General features: G+C 45.5%; 1 protein-coding gene and 1 pseudogene across 4 annotated transcripts in view; both read right to left on the bottom strand.

Annotated features, from left to right (window-relative positions):
* The window catches only part of TANGO6 (transport and golgi organization 6 homolog), a 241,652-nt gene that overhangs the window by 37,299 nt on the left and 183,826 nt on the right, over window positions 1–20,527 (bottom strand). For 3 of the 4 annotated variants that reach the window (NM_024562.2, XM_047434633.1, XM_047434634.1), the window contains one exon: window positions 7,463–7,576. In NM_024562.2, coding sequence (NP_078838.1) covers window positions 7,463–7,576 — 114 coding nt within the window. Of the gene's footprint in view, window positions 1–7,462; window positions 7,577–20,527 lie in introns of those variants that run through there. The other variant, XM_047434632.1, reaches the window with a different exon arrangement.
* On the bottom strand, window positions 13,323–14,254 carry RPS2P45 (ribosomal protein S2 pseudogene 45; annotated as a pseudogene).

Below are 20,527 nucleotides of genomic sequence, written 5' to 3'. Positions count from 1 at the left end.
GAATTATCTTTTAATACTAAAAAGCAAGGGAAAGAGTTTCAATATAAAATGCTGCCATTTTATATTGTGGCTATATATTATATTAGCCACTATAAATCCATGTGCAAAGTTCTCAAATATTTTATAGTCCTTCTAAGAAGTTAACTTTCAATAAACTATGTAGAGGGCTGCAGCAGTAGTTACCTTGATAAATCAACCCCCAATCACTCATTTTTTTAAGATCAACTTTTTTCCCAATTGTATATATATTCAATTCTCGTTATTTGTGGTAGTTATGTTTTATAACGTTGCTGTGAGTGCTGCATTAGCAGATATTGAACCACTGCTCCTAGGGGAAATGTAAGATTAGGGTCCTGAGAGCCTCTGGTCACACCAAATCACTCACCTTTTTTTTTTTTCCTTTGAGATGGACCCAAGCTGGAGTGCAATGGTGCGATCTTGGCTCACTGCAACCTCTGCCTCCCAGGTTCAAGTGATTCTCCAGCCTCAGCCTCCCGAGGAGCTAGGACTACAGGCAACCACCATCATGCCTCGCTAATTTTTGTATTTTCAGTAGAGATAGGGTTTCGCCATGTTGGCCAGGCTGGTCTCGAACTCCTGACCTCAGGTGATCTGTCCACCTTGGCCTCCCAAACAAAGTGCTGGGATTATAGTTGTGAGACACCGCGCCCAGCCTAAAATCACTCTTTTTTTTTTTTTTTTTGAGACAGAGTCTCACTCTGTTGCCCAGGCTGGAGTGCAGTTGCACAATCTCGGCTCACTGCAGCCTCCACCTCCTGGGTTCAAGTGATTCTCCTACCTCAGCCTCTTGAGAAGCTGGGATTATAGGCACGGACCACCACGCCCAGCTAATCTTTGTATTTTTAGTAAAGACAGGGTTTCACCATGTTGGTCAGGCTGGTCTCGAACTCCCGACCTCAGGTGATCCACCCATCTCAGCCTCCCAAACAAAGTGCTGGGATTACAGGCGTGAGCCACCACGCCTGGCCTAAAATCACTCATATTTTAAATCTTTTTCTTTTTCCTCTCTGTTCTTCACATTATATAATTTCTAGTACTCCATCTTTCAATTCACTTATTCTTTTCTTGGTTAATTCCATTTAGTGATTTTTTTTTAAGTCACTGTAGTTTTTAGTTCTAGGACTTCCATTTGGCCCTTTTAAAATCATTTCTATTTCTTTTCTGAGATTTCCCATCTTTGCAGAAATATTTCTCCTCTACTTCATTGAGGATAATTATAATATTTGCTTTAAAATCCTTTTCTGGCCAGGTGCGGTGGCTCATGCCTGTAATCCCAGCACTTTGGCAAGGAGGCTGAGGCGGGCAGATCACCTGAGGTCAGGAGTTTGAGACCAGCCTGACCAACATGGTGAAAACCTGTCTACTAAAAATACAAAATTAGCCACGTGTGGTGGCACATACCTGTAATCCCAGCTACTAGGGAGGCTAAGGTGGAAGAATCGCTTGAATAGGTAGGCAGACGTTGCAGTGAGCCGAGATCGTGCCACTGCACTCCAGCCTGGGCAACAAGAGTAAAACTCCATCTAAAAAAAAAAAAAAAATCCTTTTCTGATAATTCTAACATCAGGATTACCTTGAGGTTCGTCTTAGTTGATTTTCTTCTCTCTGGGGAACATGTTCCATTTTCCTGGTTTTTCATATATTGAGTAACTTATATTGGGTTGTATTTATATTGGGTTGTATACATGAGTTGTATCCTGGACATTATGAATGTTAAGTTATTTTGACTCTGAATCCTGTTCTCCAATGAGTGGTCTATTGGTTTTTTCTTTAATTTTAATTTTTTTTTTTTTTTTTTTGAGTTGGAGTCTCGCTCTATCACCCAGACTGGAGTGCAGTGGCATGATCTCGGCTCACTGTAACCTCTGCCTCTTAGGGTCAAGCAATTCTCCTGCCTCAGCCTCCTGAGTAGCTGGGATTACAGATGCGTGACACCACGCCCGGCTAATTTTTGTATTTTTAGTAGAGATGGGGTTTCACTATGTTGGCCAGGCTGGTCTTGAATTCCTGACCTCGTGATCCACCCGCCTCAGCCTCCCAAAGTGCTGGGATTACAAGCATGAGCCACCACGCCCGGCCTAATTTAATTTTTTATTTATTTTTATGTTTATTTTTCTTTTGAGATGGAGTCTTGCTCTGTTGTCCAGGCTGGAGTGCAGTGGCACGGTCTCAGCTCACTGCAACCTCTGCCTCCCAGGTTCAAGCGATTCTCCTGCCTCAGCCTTCTGAGTAGCTGGGATTACAGGCGCCTACCACCACACCCAGCTAATTTTTTGTATTTTTAGTAGAGAGGGGGTTTCACTATGTTGGCCAGGTTGGTCTCAAACTCCTGAACTCGTGATCCGCCCGCCTTGGCCTTCCAAAGCGCTGGGATTACAGGCATAAGTCACTGCACCCAGCCTTTTTTTTTTTTTTTTTTGAGATGGAGTCTCGCTCAGTCACCCAGGCTGGAGTGCAGTGGCTCGATCTTGGCTCACTGCAAGCTCTGCCTCCCAGGTTCACGCCATTCTCCTGCCTCAGCCTCCCGAGTAGCTAGGACTACAGGCACCCGCCACCACACCCGGCTAATTTTAGTAGAGACGGGGTTTCACCATGTTAGCCAGGATGGTCTCTATCTTCTGACCTCATGATCCGCCCGCCTCGGCCTCCCAAAGTGCTGGGATTATAGGTGTGAGTCGCCGCGCCCAGCTTTTTTTTTTTTTTTTTGAGACAAGAGTCTCCCTCTGTCGCCCAGGCTGGAGTGCAGTGGCACAATCTCAGCTCACTGTAACCTTTGCCTCCCGGTTCAAACAATTCTCCTGTCTTGGCCTCCCGAACTGGGATTACAAGTGTGCCACCAAATCCACCTAATTCTTTTGTATTTTTAGTAAAGACAGGGTTTCACTATGTTGGTCAGGCTGGTCTCGAACTCCTGACCTCAGGTGATTTGCCCACCTTGGCCTCCCAAACAAAGTGCTGGGATTATAGGCATGAGGCACTGCGCCCAGCCTTTTAAAATTTTTTTTCTTTTTCAGATAAGGTCTTGCTTACGTAGCCCTGGCTGGTCTTGAACTCCTGAGCTCAAGCAATCTCGTGCCTCAGCCTCTTAAGTATCTGAGACTACGGGCATGTGCCAACACACCCTGCTTTGTTTTTGTTTTTGAAGCAGGCAACTACCTTGCTTGGTTCAGGGGTTAGCCTAAAAAGTAGGCAGAGAGAACTGGGGAATCTTCTCTTTGGATCTTTCCCTTCCAAATTGCCTCTCTTCTGTGGCTTCCCCACACTCAATCTCCTGGTTCCTCAGGCCAGAAAAGCTGTGATCTCTCTGCCAGTGCCCCTACTATATCGCATGCCTTGCCAAGTATACTTGTCCCTAGGTTAAAACAAGCAAATGGAACTTATCGTGTGCATCACCTCTCCTCTAAGCATGAACTCCCCATCAGAACTGGCCTGCTTCTAATCCCTCTCCAGGGATTTCAGGTAGCCCACCAAACTGCTGGGATTACAGGCGTGAGTCACCGCACCCGGCAAAAATAAGTTTTTCAATAACAAAGTGAATGCAGGGCCAGGCACAGTGGCTCAGTTGAGGTCACGAGTTCGAGACCAACTTGGCCAATATTGTGAAACCCTGTCTCTACTAAAAATACAAAAATTAGCTGAGCGTGATGGTGCAAATCTGTAATCCTAGCTACTCGGGAGGCCGAAGCATGAGAATTGCTTGAACCCGGGAGGTGGAGGTTGCAGTAAGCCGAGATCATGCCACTGCACTCCAGCCTGGGCACCAGAGTGAGACTCTGTCTCAAAAAAGAAAGTGAATGCAGTATTTCCCTCCAATGTGGATATTGTGTTGGCTGCACAAAACTCTGGCTACATTCAAATGGGAAAGAGGTAAAAACTGCCTCATGAGTTAGGGGCGTTGATGTTTCCCCTCTCTGATCCCATGCTATCTCCTGAACCCCTACCTCCTTTTCCAGCTGCCACAACCACAGAGGCCCTTGGCTGACGCATCCACAAGCAACAGAGAATTCACTGAAACCTGGTATTATCTTTTGGCACTCTATAGCTTGGGAGATGGTGATTAGAAGGGGGAAAAACACAGAACTTCATCAACAGTGTGGCATTTTCACTTCAGCTGTTCCTGGGGGCAAAACAGAGCCATAAAGAGAAATTCCAGATTGAAAGCTTTGTGGTTATCTCCACTTCTCATTAAAGTGCCCCTGATTATAATCACACCTACGATTACAAGATTTAACACACCTGGTCTCAAGGATGTACCAGGAAGAGGAATCATCTGTTCATCCCTTCCCATTTCCTTTTCTTTATTCACTAAGCACAACTTATAAGTTTCAGTGAGTGCAGACTAGAGACAGTTTGGAGAACAGGCGGAGGTTTTTCATTCACATGGGTTTTGAAAGTGACAAAAATCTTCCATGGCCACAAATTATTTTAGTACTGGTGAGACAAGCGGTGTTGGTTTCATTGGCTAGGCACAGATGTGAGAAATCTGGATAGAGTTTCTATTTCTTCTCTGACTTTGCTAACCAGACATTTTCCTCTGCTACACACACACACACACACACACACACACACACACACACACTCGCTCTGTCTCTCGCTCGCTCTCACTTTCACTCTCTCACTCAGTAAGGGTGTGTGCACTTACAGAGTCTCTCTCTGTCGCCCAGACTGAAGTGCAGTGGCGCGATCTTGGCTCACTGCAACCTCCGCCTCCCCGGTTCAAGTGATTCTCCTGCCTCAGCCTCCCGACTAGCTGGGATTACAGGCAGATGCCACCACACCTGGCTACTTTTTTGTATTTTTAGTAGAAACAGAGTTTTGCCAGGTAGGCCAGGCTTCTCTCGAACTCTTGGGCTCAAGTGATCCACACACCTCAGCCTCCCAAAGTGCTGGGATTACAGGCGGTGAGCCACTGCACCCGACCAACTTGTATTTTCAAATACATTTTTGCTTTGAAATAATTTTAGATTTACACAAAAGTTGCAAAGATAGTACAAAGTCCCTGTATACCCCTCCATTCCCCTACTGTTAACAACTTACTTAACAACATCTTTGCCAAGAGTTTTGTAGATCTTAACAATGGATGAAAAACACTGATTCTTCTTAACTCCCTCTCATACAGTGGATTCTCAATAAGAGCAATGTGTATTATTGTCCCTATAGCAATTTATTTAATTATACAAATTACTGAGCTATGATCTATATGTCCCCCATCCCCATCAAGGTCCTAAGTAAAACCCTGGAGCCTCCATCCTTCCAGGTGAGTGCTCCAAGTTAATGAGCAAGTCTGTCCCTACAGAAGTTTTTTGTTTGTTTTTTGAGAAGGAGACTCACTCTGTCACCTAGGCTGGAGTGCAGTGGTGCAATCCTGGCTCACTACAACTTCTGCCTCCCAGGTTCAAGTGATTCTCCTGCTTCAGTCTCCCAAGTAGCCTGGATTACAGGTGCCTGCCACCACGCCTGGCTAATTTTTGTATTTTTAGTAGAGACGGGGTTTCACCATGTTGGCCAGGCTGATCTCGAATTCCCGACCTCAGGTGATCCACCCGCCTCAGCCTCCCAAAGTGCTGGGATTACAGGTGTGAGCCACCCCGCCCGGCTACAGAAGTTTTTATGAGTCAGCCAGATCTTCCCCATATTCCTTTGTGTCACTATTAGTTGCCACCCTAATATCCATTTCCTGCCATCTTCCTTGCTGACTAAAATTCAATTTCATTCAGAGTAGCAATGTGCCAACTAAATACATTGTCAGGCTCCTTTGCAGCTAGAAACAATTGTTTGACACAGTTCTGGCCAATGAAATAGGAATTCTCCTGGGGGGTTCTGGGAAACTGTCCTAGTTCCCCAAAATAAGAAACAAAAAGCACCTAGGGCTGTCCTTCTCTTATCTTCTTTCTTTCTCATTTAAATCATTCACAATGGCCAGAGCTGCAGCAGCTATCTTGTAGCCATGAGGCAAAGGCCACAAAGATTATAGAAATGTTGGTCCTGTTGATACTGAGCTGCTAAACAGACACCACCTACTTACATATTTCTTGTGATGTGAGAAAAATCCTTACTTGTTTAGGACATTGTAGTTGAAGTTTTTCTAATTTGTAGTTGAACATGCTCATAGCAGATAAGTTCATTCAATCCAAACCTCAACCTATACAAGGTGGAGGAGAAGGGGGAGAAATGCAGCCGAGGGTAAAGCACTATTCCCAAAGCACTGGGAAATCCAATGGCCTCGCTAGTGAGGTGCAACAACAGCAAGTCACTACGTAAAGAGAAAAGGTGGCTGTGTAGGAAAGGAATGGGATAACTACTGAGTCCCTGCCTGTACAAAAATGGCATCAGAAACTCCATATGGTAACATTCTAGGATGAATAAAGCCCATGTATGTGTGTGTGTGATAAAACAATCACTTTTTTTTTTTTTTTGAGACAGAATTTCACTCTTGTTGCCCAGGCTGGAGTGTAATGGCAAGATCTCGGCTCACTGCAACCTCCGCCTCCCGGGTTCAAGCAATTCTCCTGTCTCAGCCTCCCGAGTAGATGGGATTACAGGCATGCGCCACCACACCTGGCTAATTTTGTATTTTTAGTAGAGATGGGGTTTCTCCATGTTGGTCAGGCTGGTCTCGAACTCCTGACCTCAGGTGATCCGCCTGCCTCGGCCTCCTAAAGTGCTGGGATTACAGGCATGAGCCACCGAGCCTGGCCTAAAACAGTCACTTTTATAATGGCTTCACTGACACTTGGTTAAATACTGATGTGTTAGCCACAGATGAGCATTGTGGATACTGGGTGGTGAATTATTAATGCAAATTTTCCATAGGAAGTCAACTGGGAATGTGTTTCCATTAAAATCAAGACGAAAATTAATTTAGAGGTCGCTCATTCTCAGCACACATATGGTTTTTTATATATATATATATGTAAATATATACTTTCTTCCTGTATTGGCCATACGCTGGGGAGAAATCCAGCCAAACCCACTTGAAGGAGGAAGAAAATTTAATTTATGCAGCACCTAACATGTCATAGATTGAACTCAGCTAGAAAGGAAACATCTTCAATGAGGCCCTTTAGTAATTCAGCATGAACAATCAAATGAGTCAGAAAGGCAAGTCACTGAAGTTCAGGGTGCAGAGGCAGGGTGAATGTGTTCTAGCTAGCTCACCTTGGAACAATGAGGACAATGCCAGGATTCAGGGCCTCAATCTACAACCTTGTGCTCTGGTTTTTCTTAGTATATAGTTTGGCCAATATGTTACTGAGGTAATAGAGACATACACCGAAGATACAAACAAGGTCATTTTCCTGCTACAAAATCCCTGTTGATGGATTCATTTGGATGAATCCATCGAGGAAAGAGGTTTGAGGCCTTCCCTGGTAAAAGGAAGATTGAGAAATAGACAAATAAAAGAGGTGGAGAAATTGCAAAGGGCGAGAGACGGACTGACCTCAGTAGCTTTCTGGCTGAGTCCCCGAAGCAGCAGCACAACCACATGTATGGCAGCTCTGCGTACTTGAACTTCACCATCTGTTTTGGCCACAGCAATCAGGCAAGCTGTTACCTAGGAGGATGAAGGAAGATGAAGTTGATAAGAATCAGAGTTGCACAATTACCTATAACCTTTCAACTGTGTTCCACTTACTACACATTCATCAAGAGCAATCTGGCTTAGAGAGGGCTGGATAGTTGCTTAATCCTCAACAAAGAGGGTGAGATCTAGTGGGAGAGATCTTGATGCAGTCTGACTTTTCTGGTAGAGGGCAAAATCCAGTTTGGAATTCAAGAACGAGATTAGAGAGTGGGAAGGAATATGTGTACTGTATATTATATGCATTTTGTAAAAGGTAAGGTCAAATGCTAATATTTCCACAAAAGTGAGAACTGTTAATTGTCCCCCTTTAAGAACATCAAATCAAAGGAAAAAAGATGGTCCCAACCATAGCTGCTTCTAGAGACTGAGGATCATGGGGATTTAGCTAAGGAGACTTCAGAGTTCACAGCCTGGCATGAATGTGAATGTACCATTGATGAAAGTTTCAGCCTAGGGAATAAAGAGTTACAGAAATATTCTAACTGATCTTCTTCAGCATGTCCAGATATTCCAGTCCTACAAATGTAGTGTACACCGGATGTGAGTCAGCAGGGGTCACTTTCAGAGACTTCCTGAATATGGAATAGGACTTTCTGTGCTCAATTACTTTACGTATTTTTTCTGTTTTGTTTTGTTTTGTTTGAGACAGGGTCTCACTCTGTCACCCAGGCTGGAGTGCAGTGGTGCAATCAGGGCTCACTGCAGCCTTGACCTCCTGGGCACAAGTGACCCTCCCACCTCAGCCTCCCAAGTAGCTAGGACTACAGGTGTGCGCCACCATGCCTGGCTAATTTGATTATTTTTTGTAGAGATGAGGGTTTTACCATGTTGCCCAGCTGGTCTTGAACCCCTGGGCTTATGCAATCCTCCTGCCTTGGCCTCCCAAGGTGCTAGGATTACAGGTATGAGCCACCGTGTCCAGCCTGTGCTCACTTTTTTTTTTTTTTTTTGAGACGGAGTCTCGCTCTGTTGCCCAGGCTGGAGTGCAGTGGTGCAATGTCAGCTCACTGCAACCTCTGCCTCCTAGGTTCAAGTGATTCTCCTGAGTAGCTGGGACTACAGGTGCACACAACCATGCCTAATTTTTTTTTTTGAGATGGAGTCTCACTCTGTCGCCCAGGCTGGAGTGCAGTGGCGCGATCTTGGCTCACAGCAAGCTCCGCTTCCCGGGTTCACGCCATTCTCCTGCCTCAACCTCCCGAGTAGCTGGGACTACAGGCATCCGCCACCACACCTGGCTAATTTTTTGTATTTTTAGTAGAGAAGGGGTTTTTCACCGTGTTAGCCAGGATGGTCTCAATCTCCTGACATTGTGATCTGCCCACCTCGGCCTCCCAAAGTGCTGGGATTATAGGTGTGAGCCACTGAGCCTGGCCCACCTAAATTTTTGTATTTTTAGTAGAGATGGAGTTTCGCTATGTTGGCCAGGTTGGTCTCAAACTCCTGACTTCAGGTGATCTGCCCGCGTCCACCTCCCAAAGTGCTGGGATTACAGGCATGAGTTACTGTGCCTGGCCAGCGCTCAATTACTTTAAAAGACCATACTAACACAGGAAAGAAAGACTGGAAATTACTTGCAAAACTGATATATAGTTAATTATGTCATAAAATCAAACAGTTGAATGTAACAGCCACTGTACCCTTGCCTGGCTCCTGGTAGGCAGAAAAATGTTTTAAAATCTCAATGAAGAGATACAATTAACAAGAATGACAACAAACCTTTCTGAGGCATTCATGTAAGCTTTAAAAAGAGAAAAAAAAATTTTTGAAAGTGTGACCAATGGCAGCAACAATCTGAAGGTATGTCTAACTTATTCAACTGGTCTCTCATATACTTTTTTTTTTTTTGAAACAGGATCTCGCTCTGTCATCCAGGCTGGAGTGCAGTGGTACAATCTTGGCTCACTGCAACCTCTGCCTCCCGGGTTCAAGCGATTCTGGTGCCTCAGTCTCCTGAGTGGGTAGGACTACAGGCGCGTGTCACCATGCCCGGTTAATTTTTTGTATTTTTTGGTAGAGGCAGGGTTTCACCGTGTTGGCCAGGCTGGTCTCAAACTCCTGACCCAGGTGATCTGCCTGCCTCGGCCTCCCAAAGTGCTGGGATTACAGACATGAGCCACCGCACCTGGCCTCTCACATACTTTTGTTATTGGACTTACTGTGTGAATATATTTCTTGGCCAGTAGTGGAAGGATATCTAATTATGATAGGAAAATAGCCAGACTGTGTTTAGAAACACGTACAAATACAAATCATGTTTAAAGAATGGTGAATATGAGAACAAGTGAGGAAATAGGCTTGTGCAGAAATTTTAACTATACAGGTTGTATTTTTCACAGCTTTCAAACAGTTGGGCATAGTTCAAAGTATCTAATTAATCAGTGATGGCAGAGAGATTAGAAGAACTAGCTTGTTCTTAAGCATAATTGCGTCTGTGATGCGCTGGCATTTAATCAACTTGTGCATCTATCAGACAAACATGCAGCTTGCAAGTGAAGGAAAATCCCAGAGGAGTCCAACCCTTTGGGGGCTGTTTTCAGTAAGACCCAGCAAGCTGCTCTGCCTTTGACCTGGGACCCCCCACCCTAAGGCCAGCAGTGGCTTCCATGCCTGTGGCATTAACAGTAGAAGCAATTCAGTCCTAAGAGGAATTCCTTGGGCAACCTCCAAATAGGCAACAATATAATAGCTACCTCCACTTTCAGGCTTAGTATTTACAAGGTAAGAGCTGAAACCAGAGAAACAAGTTAGAGATAGGTCTGAGTCCCTCTTGACACAGGGAAGTAAAATTTATTTGGTCTGATGGCTAAATTATGGAAGCCAGCCCAAGGCCATGGACCGAGCAGAGGGTCTTAGGCATTATGTTTGCTCCCCTCTACGTTTAGCTTTGGGCCCCTGCTTCCACGTTTGGAAGACCAAGGCTCCCTGGCCTAGAACCATGTTGGTGTCTGCCTTTGTCACCTCTGTCCTGCCTCTCTTTGCTGAGCGGGTCATGCTTCCACCTCAGCTCTCAGTGTAAGGCTGGCTCTCACAGTTGGGCATTTGTGCATTAATCCCACAGCTGGGATGTCCAGGCAGAAGCATCCTGCCTGGAAAAGGGCTTTCCCTTCAAGGGCAATTCTTTTTTTTTTTTTTTTTTTTTGAGATGGACTCTCACTCTGTTGCCCAGGCTGGAGTGCAGTAGCACGATCTCAGCTCACAGCAACCTCTGCTTCCAGGGCTCAAGCAATCCTCCCACCTCAGCCTCCCTAGTAGCTGGGACTATAGGCATGCACCACCATGCCCAGCCTTCTTCTTTTTCTTTTTTTTTTCTGTGAGACAAAGTCTCACTGTGTCACCCAGGCTGGAATGCAGTGGCATGATCTCAGCTCACTGCAGCCTTCACCTCCCAGGCTCTGGCACTCCTCCCACCTCGGCCTCCGGAGTAGCTGGGACTACAGGCGTGTACCACTACGCATAGCTAATTTGTGTAGTTTTTGTAGAGATGGAGTTTTGCCATGTTGCCCAGGCTGGTCTCAAACTCCTGGACTCAAGTGATTCGCCTGCCTCGGCTTCCCAAAGTGCTGGGATTCCAGGCATGAACTACTGCACCCCGGTCAAGGCCAATTCTTGAATCCCTGTGCCACCTTGAAGGTATGACTGAGAGAGGAGCTAGTTATGACAAGCCTTGCTGAGATCAGCTGAAATAGCCTCCTGCTTGCTACGGGCTGTTAGTGACTTATGCGCCAGACTCCACCAAACCCATCTGCAGTCAGCCATCCAGGACAATCAGGAAGAGGCCCGAGAACAGAAGAGCATTTGGGAAACTTCCTCAACCCCTCTGTCACCAGGACCAAATCATGTGAAATGTATAATGGTCTGTCACGCAAAATGCTTTCTGAGCATCGGAATTTTAATATGGTCTTACGGATATCATCTAAATATAAGAACAGTCTTCAGTTCAGGTCAAGCACCCATAACCAGCTTGTAATGCTGCTCTCCAGCAGACCAATGGGACAGACCCCTTGTCCAACACTAGAAGTGGGGAGGATGTAGGCCACTCTCTTCTATGTATCCAGGCTGGAAAAGTCACTTCACGGCTAGTCTCTCACCTCCAACCCCAACGACATAATGAACACTGAGTTCTACCTCTAAAAGCCTTGGTGAGATAGATAGATGATGAACTGGTGTATTATTTCTATACTCTAAGTCCTCTCAGAGGGCAGAAATCCATTCTTTTTTTTTTTTTTTTTTTTGAGGCAGAGTCTTGCTCTGTAGCTCAGGCTGGAGTACAGTGGCATGCTCGCAGCTTACCGCAACCTTTGCCTCCCGGGTTCAAGTGATTCTTGTCTCAGCCTCCTGAGTAGCTACATGTGCCTGTCACCACACCTGGTTAATTTTTGTATTTTTAGTAGAGATAGGGTTTTGCCATGTTGGCCAGGCTGGTCTCAAACTCCTGACCTCAAATGATTGCCCACCTTGGCCTCCTAAAGTGCTGGGATTATAGGCGTGAGCCACTGGGCCCAGCCAGAAATTCATCCTTTTGTCACCTGCTCTGAGTAAACCACACTATGGAAAGCTTTCTCTTCACTGGCTAAATCAGTAAACTGTGTCCACTTCTAAAAGCCATCCAGAGAGAAAGATGCTGATTGCTTTGGAAGCATTAAAGGTCAGTTTCAGCAATTTAACACTTAACAGGAGCCAAGAGAAATAAGGAAAAACATCACTCCCAAAACAGCTGGCACACACCAAGCATAACCAGAACTATATAAATAAAGATAATACAAATGGCAAGATTACCAAAAACTGACTTTGGAAAATTCCAAGTGAGAAGTTGCCAGAATTGAGGTATGTATCAAGGAAGCATGACTTTAATTTTCCAACTGCATCTTCATCCATTTTCCTAAAGCTTCCTTTATTAAAATTCAGTTGGTTTGCTAACTTGTCTGCAACTTCACCATCTGTAAACCAAGAAACCTTAACAGCAAAGACAATGTGACCAATCATTCTCAGGAGCTTGGCTTACTCAACCTGCCATGAAAGAAACCATGGCAGGTACTTTAGCTTCCTTGGGGTTTCCCAGAACATCTATCTCAGGCCTCATCTCAGGGGTCTACGTATCCTCAAACTGCACTGATTGTGGCAAAACTGATAGTAAATTCAGGTCATTCCGTGGGATCAGAGGCAGTGGCTTTGTATCAGCCCCCAAAGCTCAGGTATGTGGAATTCTGGGCACCATGTTAAAAGGAGACTGGACTTGTCACCTGGGACACATCTTATTTGCTGTAGTGAGGACAGGCCTCTCACTGTGGTTCACTTAAATCATATTTACTTCTCATAGAGAGTGATAAAGATGAAGAATCTATCAAGATTTGGTTTTAAGCGACACAGCCTTTGACAAGAACAAGGAAAAATTGAAAAAAAAAAAAAAGAAAAAAAAAAGAATGTTATCTACAGGTTAATTCTTGACATCAACAGAGAGGAAAAGCCTGAATTCCCAGTACAGTGACTGTGGAAGGGTTGAGCCTATACTTTATATTCCTTCCCGACCAGCTGGCATCATCATAGCAGACAGTGCCCAAATCTGGATCACCCAATAGTTAGGATAACTTTCTTCAGATGCCGAAGAGCTATAGCCAGAGAGGAAGGGCACTGATGCCCGCAGACCACGTCGCTTTAGAAGGGACTACGGTGGCTGGTTTGTTCAATTTCATTTTCTTCTGCTTATTATTTTTAACAGGTGTAATTCACTATTATTCTTGTATGAAAGCTTATGCTGTAACCACAGCTGGAGCCTGGGTCCTCTGCATGGAGGCTCTGGTGTGGGTCTTGATGTGATGGTCAGTGCATTCCACAGGGAGGCTTGGTGAATAGTCTCTTTCCAGAGGCTGGGGGTCAGGCAGCTATAGGTCCTGGAGATGGCATTGAAGGTGGCCTTGGTGAAGTTGTCCAGGGTGGCAGTGCAGCCCCTGGCTGAGGTGTAGCAGTTGTCAATACCGGCCATCAGCAGCAGCATCTTGGGCACAGGAGTCGAGATGATGCCATTGTTCCTGGGGGCAGGGATAAGGTGTACTAGCCCAGAGCTACAGCAGCCTGTAACCATACAGGGGGTGGTGTAGGACTTGCCGATCTTGTTCCCCCAGTAACCTCTCCGCATAGGGACAATGGAAAGCTTGGCCAGGGTGATGGTCCCTTGGATGGCAGTAGTAACCTCCTTGGAGCACTTAACACTTAAACTGATGTGGCCATCATAGTCCCTAACAGTAACAAATGCCTTGAATCTGGTGCGGTGGCCAGTGTGGGTCTGTTTCTACACAAGCATAATCTTTAAAACCTCACCCATGAGAGATGCCCCTTGAAAAAAGCTAATGATATCACACTCCTCGATGGGCAGGGAGAAGAGATAGGTCTCCAGGGACTTGATCTTCATATCCTTGACCAGAGGGACCAGCTTGGTGATGGGTATCCACTCCTTGTCCTCAGTCATGTCTCTGTGAGTTCCACAGCCTCAGCTCTAGCCTTGACCATGGCTGCGAGCCCAGTCCTGCATGCTGCTACCAAAGCCTCTGAGGAAGCCATGGCAGTTTTCCATTTAGGGTCCCCAGGGCCTCCAGGACCTCCCGCCACATTGGCGTTATCCTCCAGTTTGGTGATTTCTCAGAAAGGAAGCTGTTCAATTTTATCTCAAAATAGATTATGCTTCTTCTCTTCCTCTGCCTGGCTAACACTTGATCAACATAACCTTCTTGATGCCCTGACAAGTTAACCCAGGGTCCCAGCTCTGGGTCCCCCAGAGCTTGGTGCTGGCTCTATCGTGTCACTCCTATCCACTGTTGATTTACTCCTCTGCGTTTCACACAAGTTACTGAGACTTCCTTAAGGGAAGAGATTGGGTCCTTTATTTGTGTCTTCTAGCATACTTGCCAGATAACAGATGCTCACGAAGGAGAATTCCTTCTGTTCGCAAAGACAAGTTTCCCAAAGCTCAAGTTCCTTCTCCACCAGCACACCCTGGAACTAAGCAATTCTGAGACTTCAAGAGCTTTCATGGTACACTGAAAGAACTGTCCTAGAAGAAGCCACAGTAACTTTTTATTTTATTTACTTATTTTTGAGACAGAGTCTCTCTCTGTTGCCCAGGCTGGAGTACAGTGGTGTGATCTCAGCTCACTGCAACCTCCGCCTCCTGGGTTCAAGTGATTCTCCTACCTCAGCCTCCCGAGTAGCTGGGATTACAGGTGCCTGCCACCACACGGGGCTAATTTTTGTATTTTTAGTGGAGATGGGGTTTCACCATGTTGACCAGGCTGGTCTCGAACTCCTGACCTTGGGTGATCTGCCTGCCTTGGCCTTCCAAAGTGGTGAGATTACAGGCATGAGCCACCACGCCTGCCAACAGTAACTTTCTTTTTTTTTTTTTTTTGAGATGGAGTCTTGTTCTGTTGCCCAGGCTGGAGTACAGTGGTGTGATCTTGGCCCACTGCAACCTCAGCCTCCGGGTTCAAGCAGTTCTCTGCCTCAGCCTCCCCAGTAGTGGGGATTACAGGCGCCTGCCACCATGCCCAACTAATTTTTTGTATTTTTAGTAGAGACGGGGTTTCACCATCTTGGCTAGGCTGGTCTTGAACTCCTGACTTCGTGATCCACCCACCTTGGCCTCCCAAAGGGCTGGGATTACAGGTGTGAGCCACCATGCCCGGCCAACAGTAACTTTTTAAAAGAAGTTAGATCGGCTGGACATTGTGGCTCATACCTGTAATCCTAGCACTTTGGGAGGCTGAGGCGGGTGGGTTGCCTGAACTCAGGAGTTTGAGACCAGCCTGAGCAACATGGTGAAATCCTGCCTCTACTAAAAATAGAAAAAAATTAGCTGGGCATGGTGGCACATGCCTGTAGTCCCAGCTACTTGAGAGGCTGAGGCAAGAGAATTGCTTGAACCCAGGAAGCAGAGGTTGCAGTGAGTTGAGATTGTGCCACTGTACTACAGCCTGGGCGACAGCGCGAGGCTCTGTCTCCATAAATGAATGAATGAATAAATGAATGAATGAATGAACGAATGAAGTTAGATCATTTCATTCTTCCGCCCTGGCTTCCCATCTCATTCACAGGGAAAGCCAAAGTCCACACAAGGCTCCACTGGGACTGGCCACTGCCTTTCTGGTGCCAACTCCTGTTCTTCTCTGAAGCCACACTGGCCTTACTGTTCTCCAGCACGTGAAGCCTGCACCTGTCGCAGGGCCTCTGCACTCACATCTCCCTCCACCTGGAATGCTCCCTCCCTAGGTTTCTGGATCAACCCCTTGCTTCCTTATATCTTTGCTCAAAGGTCACTTGTCAGCTGGGCGGAGTGACTCATTCCTGTAATCCCAGCACTTTGGCAGGCTGAGGCGGGCAGGTTGCATGAACTCAGGAGTTTGAGACCAGCCTAGGCAACATGGTGAAACCCCATCTCTACTAAAACAATACAAAAAAAATTAGCTGGGTGTGGTGGCACACACCTGTAGTCCCAGCTACTTGGGAGGCTGAGGCAAGAGAATTGCTTGAACCCGGGAGGTGGAGGTTGCAGTGAGCTGAGATCGCACCACTGCACTCCAGCCTGGGCGACAGAGCAAAACTCTGTATCAAAAAAAAAAAGTCACTAGTCAGGAAAGCTTTTCCCGTCCATCTGAGACAACAGCAAACTCCCTTTGGGCCCCTTATCTTACTAAATTTATCCCGAGTAGCGTGTGCCACCACACCTGGCTAATTTTTGTACTTTTTGGTAGAGATGGGATTTAACCATGTTGCCCAGGCTGGTCTTGAACTCCTTTCCTCAAGTGATCTGTTCACCTCAGCCTCCCAAAGTGTTGAGATTACAGGTCTGAGCCACCGTGCCCAGCCTTGCTATGACTATTATTGAAACACATAGGAACTAGCCTTCCCAACCATCCTTCTCTGCTCTTCATTCAATATTGTATTAATCAGCCAACACCTAGCATCCACTATGTGCCAAGCACTGTGATAGGTATTGGGGGTATGACAAGATGAATCAAGATGGGTTCTGCCCTTGTTGTGCTCACAATTTGCTAATGACCATGAACATTCCTGGGATTGATTCTGTAGAAACAGTCCAGGTCTCTAGAAGTGGGGCAGGATCACTGGACAAGAGGTTTGCCAGGAAGGTGCCCCAAAGCAGCAGCTCCTCATCTCAGTTTTTTTAAAAAAAATTTTTAAATTTTTAAAATTTAATTTAATTTTATTTTTTGAGATCGAGTCTTGCTCTGTTGCCAGGCTGGAGTGTAGTGGTGCGATATTGGTTCACTGCAACCTCCACCTCCGGGGTTCAAGCAATTCTCCTGCCTCAGCTTCCTGAGTAGCTGGGACTACAGGCGTGCACCACCATGCCCAGCTAATTTTTGTATTTTTTTTTTTAGTAGAGACGGGGTTTCACCATGTTGGCCAGGATGGTCTCGATCTCTTGACCTCGTGATCTGCCCACCTCCGCCTCCTAAAGTGCTGGGATTACAGGCGTGAGCCACCGCGCCCGGCCCTCACCTGTTTTAAGGTTGAAACATAAAGGAGGTCCTAGGGTCACAAACGATGCTTTTCTTTGTGTCAGCACCCATGGTAGGCAAACAACCTACTACCTATTTGCACTTCATTTCCAAAGGCTAAATAAGCAATGCTTGATTCTTGCTGTGAGCCAGGAGGCTATAAAGTAACATGGCCTTTCATGATGTGGCCCCTACCTGCACTTTCTTGCCTTAGCTTCTGCCACCACTAACCCCCCACCCCTTTACTCCAGCATTTGGAACCTTCCTAAACATGTCAGGCCATCTCACGCCCTTTGCACAGCTGCTCCCTCTGCTGAAATGCTCACCTCTGCCTTTTTTTACCTGCTTAATTTCTACTTGTTCTCTGGATTCAGTTCCAAGGATTTCTTCCTCCAGGACATCTTTGCCAATACCCGAACTTGACCAAGGGACTCCTCAAAGGTGCTCCCATAGCACCCATCCTAGTGGACTGTAATTGTAATCACTGATGTCTGTGTCCACCAGATTACCCATGCCCAGAAGGCAGGGTGGTATCTGACAGGGTTTTGTATCCTCAGCCCCTAACACGGCAGTTGTTTTGAAAACATATGGCTGGGGACAGCTGAAGGACACTGATCACTCTGTTCTTCTTATTTCCCTTTTTTTTTTTTTTTTTTTTGAGTCAGAGTCTCGCTCTGTCGCCCAGGCTGGGGTGCGGTGGCATGATCTTGGCTCACTGCAACCTCTGCCTGCTAGGTTCATGCAATTCTCCTGCCTCAGCCTCCTGAGCAGCTGGGACTACAGGTGCCTGTTACTACTCTCAGCTAATTTTTATAATTTTAGTAGAGATGGGGTTTAACCATGTTGGCCAGGCTGGTCTCGAACTCCTGACCTTAGGTGATCCACCCACCTTGGCCTCCCAAAGTGCTGGGATTACAGGTGTGAGCCACCACACCCGGCCTGTTCTTCTTATTTCCTTGATGCTCATCCTCATCACTGTCATCATCAGCCCCCTTCAAATGACCAAGATGTTCCTTAAGAAAAATCTTAATATAGAAAAATAAAATGTCTTTACTAGAATGTCACCTCCTCAGTGAGACTCACCTGATACCCTGTTTAGCACTGCAACGGCCCCACCGCCTAAGACTATAATCCTGATCAGTTTCCCTTCCTCTACTTTTTCTTTTTTTCCATAGCACTTATCATTGTCTAATATACTAGATACTTTACTTATTGATTATACATAACATTTATTATCTGTCTACTCTCTCTAGAATGGAATGAAGATTGAAATCACTGTGTATTTTGAAGAGTGATATGTCTTAGGTGTCCGGAATACTGCTTGGCATGTAGTAGGCACTCAATAAAAACTGTTGAATAAATCATTGTATCAAACATATACGTCTTGTAACAATCTTGATTGCAGGTATTTTAATCCCATTTTCTAGATCAAGAAACTGAGCCCAAAGTCATTTGCTCAAGTGAATGCAAGTAAACAGATGGTGTAGCTGGGCTCTCATTCATTCCCATTCCCAAGTGTACCTGGCAGTTTTGTTATCTTTCAACAGGCTGGGTGGGTCTCCTGACAGATGATGCTTCTTGAATGTTACAAAATCTGCTTTAGCTCAATCTTTCTAATCAACCAAAACCAAGAAATTTCTCTTAACACTTTGGATAGTAAATCATATGCTGCTAGCATGCTACAATTTCCTTAGGAGAGAGAAAAAGAACAGTCTAGGGATTCAAAAATAAATACAGTCTCAATGTTTGAGTTCAGAGGTCATGATATTCAGGTATTGTTCAGGTTCATTAGTTTTAGAAAACATATAGATCCCATCAAGTCTCAGCTGGTCCACTTGGAGATCTGGGGAAAATTTTTCTGAAATGCATGGCTATGTAGTTTTTCTTTTTCTTTTTTTTTTTTTTTTTTGTTAAACTGGGCATGGTGGTGTGTGCCTATAGTCCCAGCTACTCAGAAGGCTGAGGCAGGTGGATCACTTCAGCCCAGGAGTTCGAGACCAGCCTGGACAACACAGCAAGACCCCATCTCTAAAAATAAAAAAAAAAAGTGTGTGTGATTGTACCAATAACTCTTTATATACTAAAAACCATTGAGTTGTACACTTTATTTTTTTTTAATTTTTAGTTTTTTTTGAGACAAAGTCTCGCGCTGTCACCCAGACTAGAGTGTAGTGGCGCAGTTTTAGCTCACTGCAAACTCCGCCTCCCGTGTTCAAGCGATTCTCCTGCCACAGCCTCCTAAGTAGCTGGGATTACAGGCATGTGCCACCACGCCTGGCTAATTTATTTTGTATTTTTGGTAGAGAGGGGGTTTCACCATGTTGGCCAGGTTGGTCTTGAACTCCCGACCTCAGGTGATCTGCCTGCCTTGGCCTCCCAAAGTGCTGAGATTATAGGCGTGGGCCTCTGCACCTGGCCTGAATTGTGCACTTTAAATGGGTGAATTGTATAGTGTGTGAAGTGTATCTCAGTAAAGCCATTATTTAAAAATAATAATATTTGGAGGGCCGGGAGCGGTGGCTCACGCCTATAATCCCAGCACTTTGGGAGGCCCGAAGCGGATGGATCACCTGAGGTGAAGAGTTCAAGACCAGCCTAGCCAAGATGGTGAAACCCCATCTCTACTAAAAACACAAAAATTACCCAGGCATGGTGGCAGATGCCTGTAATCCCAGCTACTGGGGAGGCTGAGGCAGGAGAATCACTTGAACCCGGCAGGTGGAGGTTGCAGTGAGCAGAGATCGTGCCACTGCACTCCAGCCTGGGCAACAGTGAGACTCTGTCTCAAAAAACAAAAAAAGAAAAAAAATTACAAATATTAGTCGGGTGTGGTGGCAGGCGCCTGTAATCCCAGCTACCTGGGAGGCTGTAGCAGGAGAATTGCTCGAACCTGGGAGGCGGAGGTTGCAGTGATCCGAGATCACGCCATTGTACTCCAGTCTGGGCGACAGAGCAAGAATTCGTCTCAAAAAAAAAAAAAAAATTGGGTTTGGTTCAGATCATGGACCAGCAACTTGTTTTAGTACACAGTTTACAGTTCAGTTTGGTTTGGGTTATGTGAAGAGACCAAGAAAATAGAGAAAAAAAAATGTGGGAATCATTTCAGTATCTGACCCAGAAAAGTTACACTAGTCTGAAATCTTCAGACAATATAACCAAATAGACCCATAAAAGCCTTCTCTTAAGGTTACAATTTAATAATACTAAAGAACAAGATATTTGCTAAATCCATCTAAAACAGGATGAGATGCCTAACGGTTCACATATATTAGAACACTTGGGTTTTAAGTAGGTACTTAAAGTTATTGTTTCTAAGTTACTAAAAAAAAAAGAAGATACAAAAACTGAGGAACAGGCTGTCCCTGGTGATCCCTCAGAGAACAGTTAAAGGGAAGGAAATAACTGATAT

This window comes from Homo sapiens, chromosome 16 (genome assembly GCF_000001405.40).
Source record: "Homo sapiens chromosome 16, GRCh38.p14 Primary Assembly".
Lineage (NCBI taxonomy): Eukaryota > Metazoa > Chordata > Mammalia > Primates > Hominidae > Homo > Homo sapiens.
The sequence above is the reverse complement of the archived record's forward strand: the minus strand, read 5'-3'. Positions and strand labels throughout refer to the sequence as shown.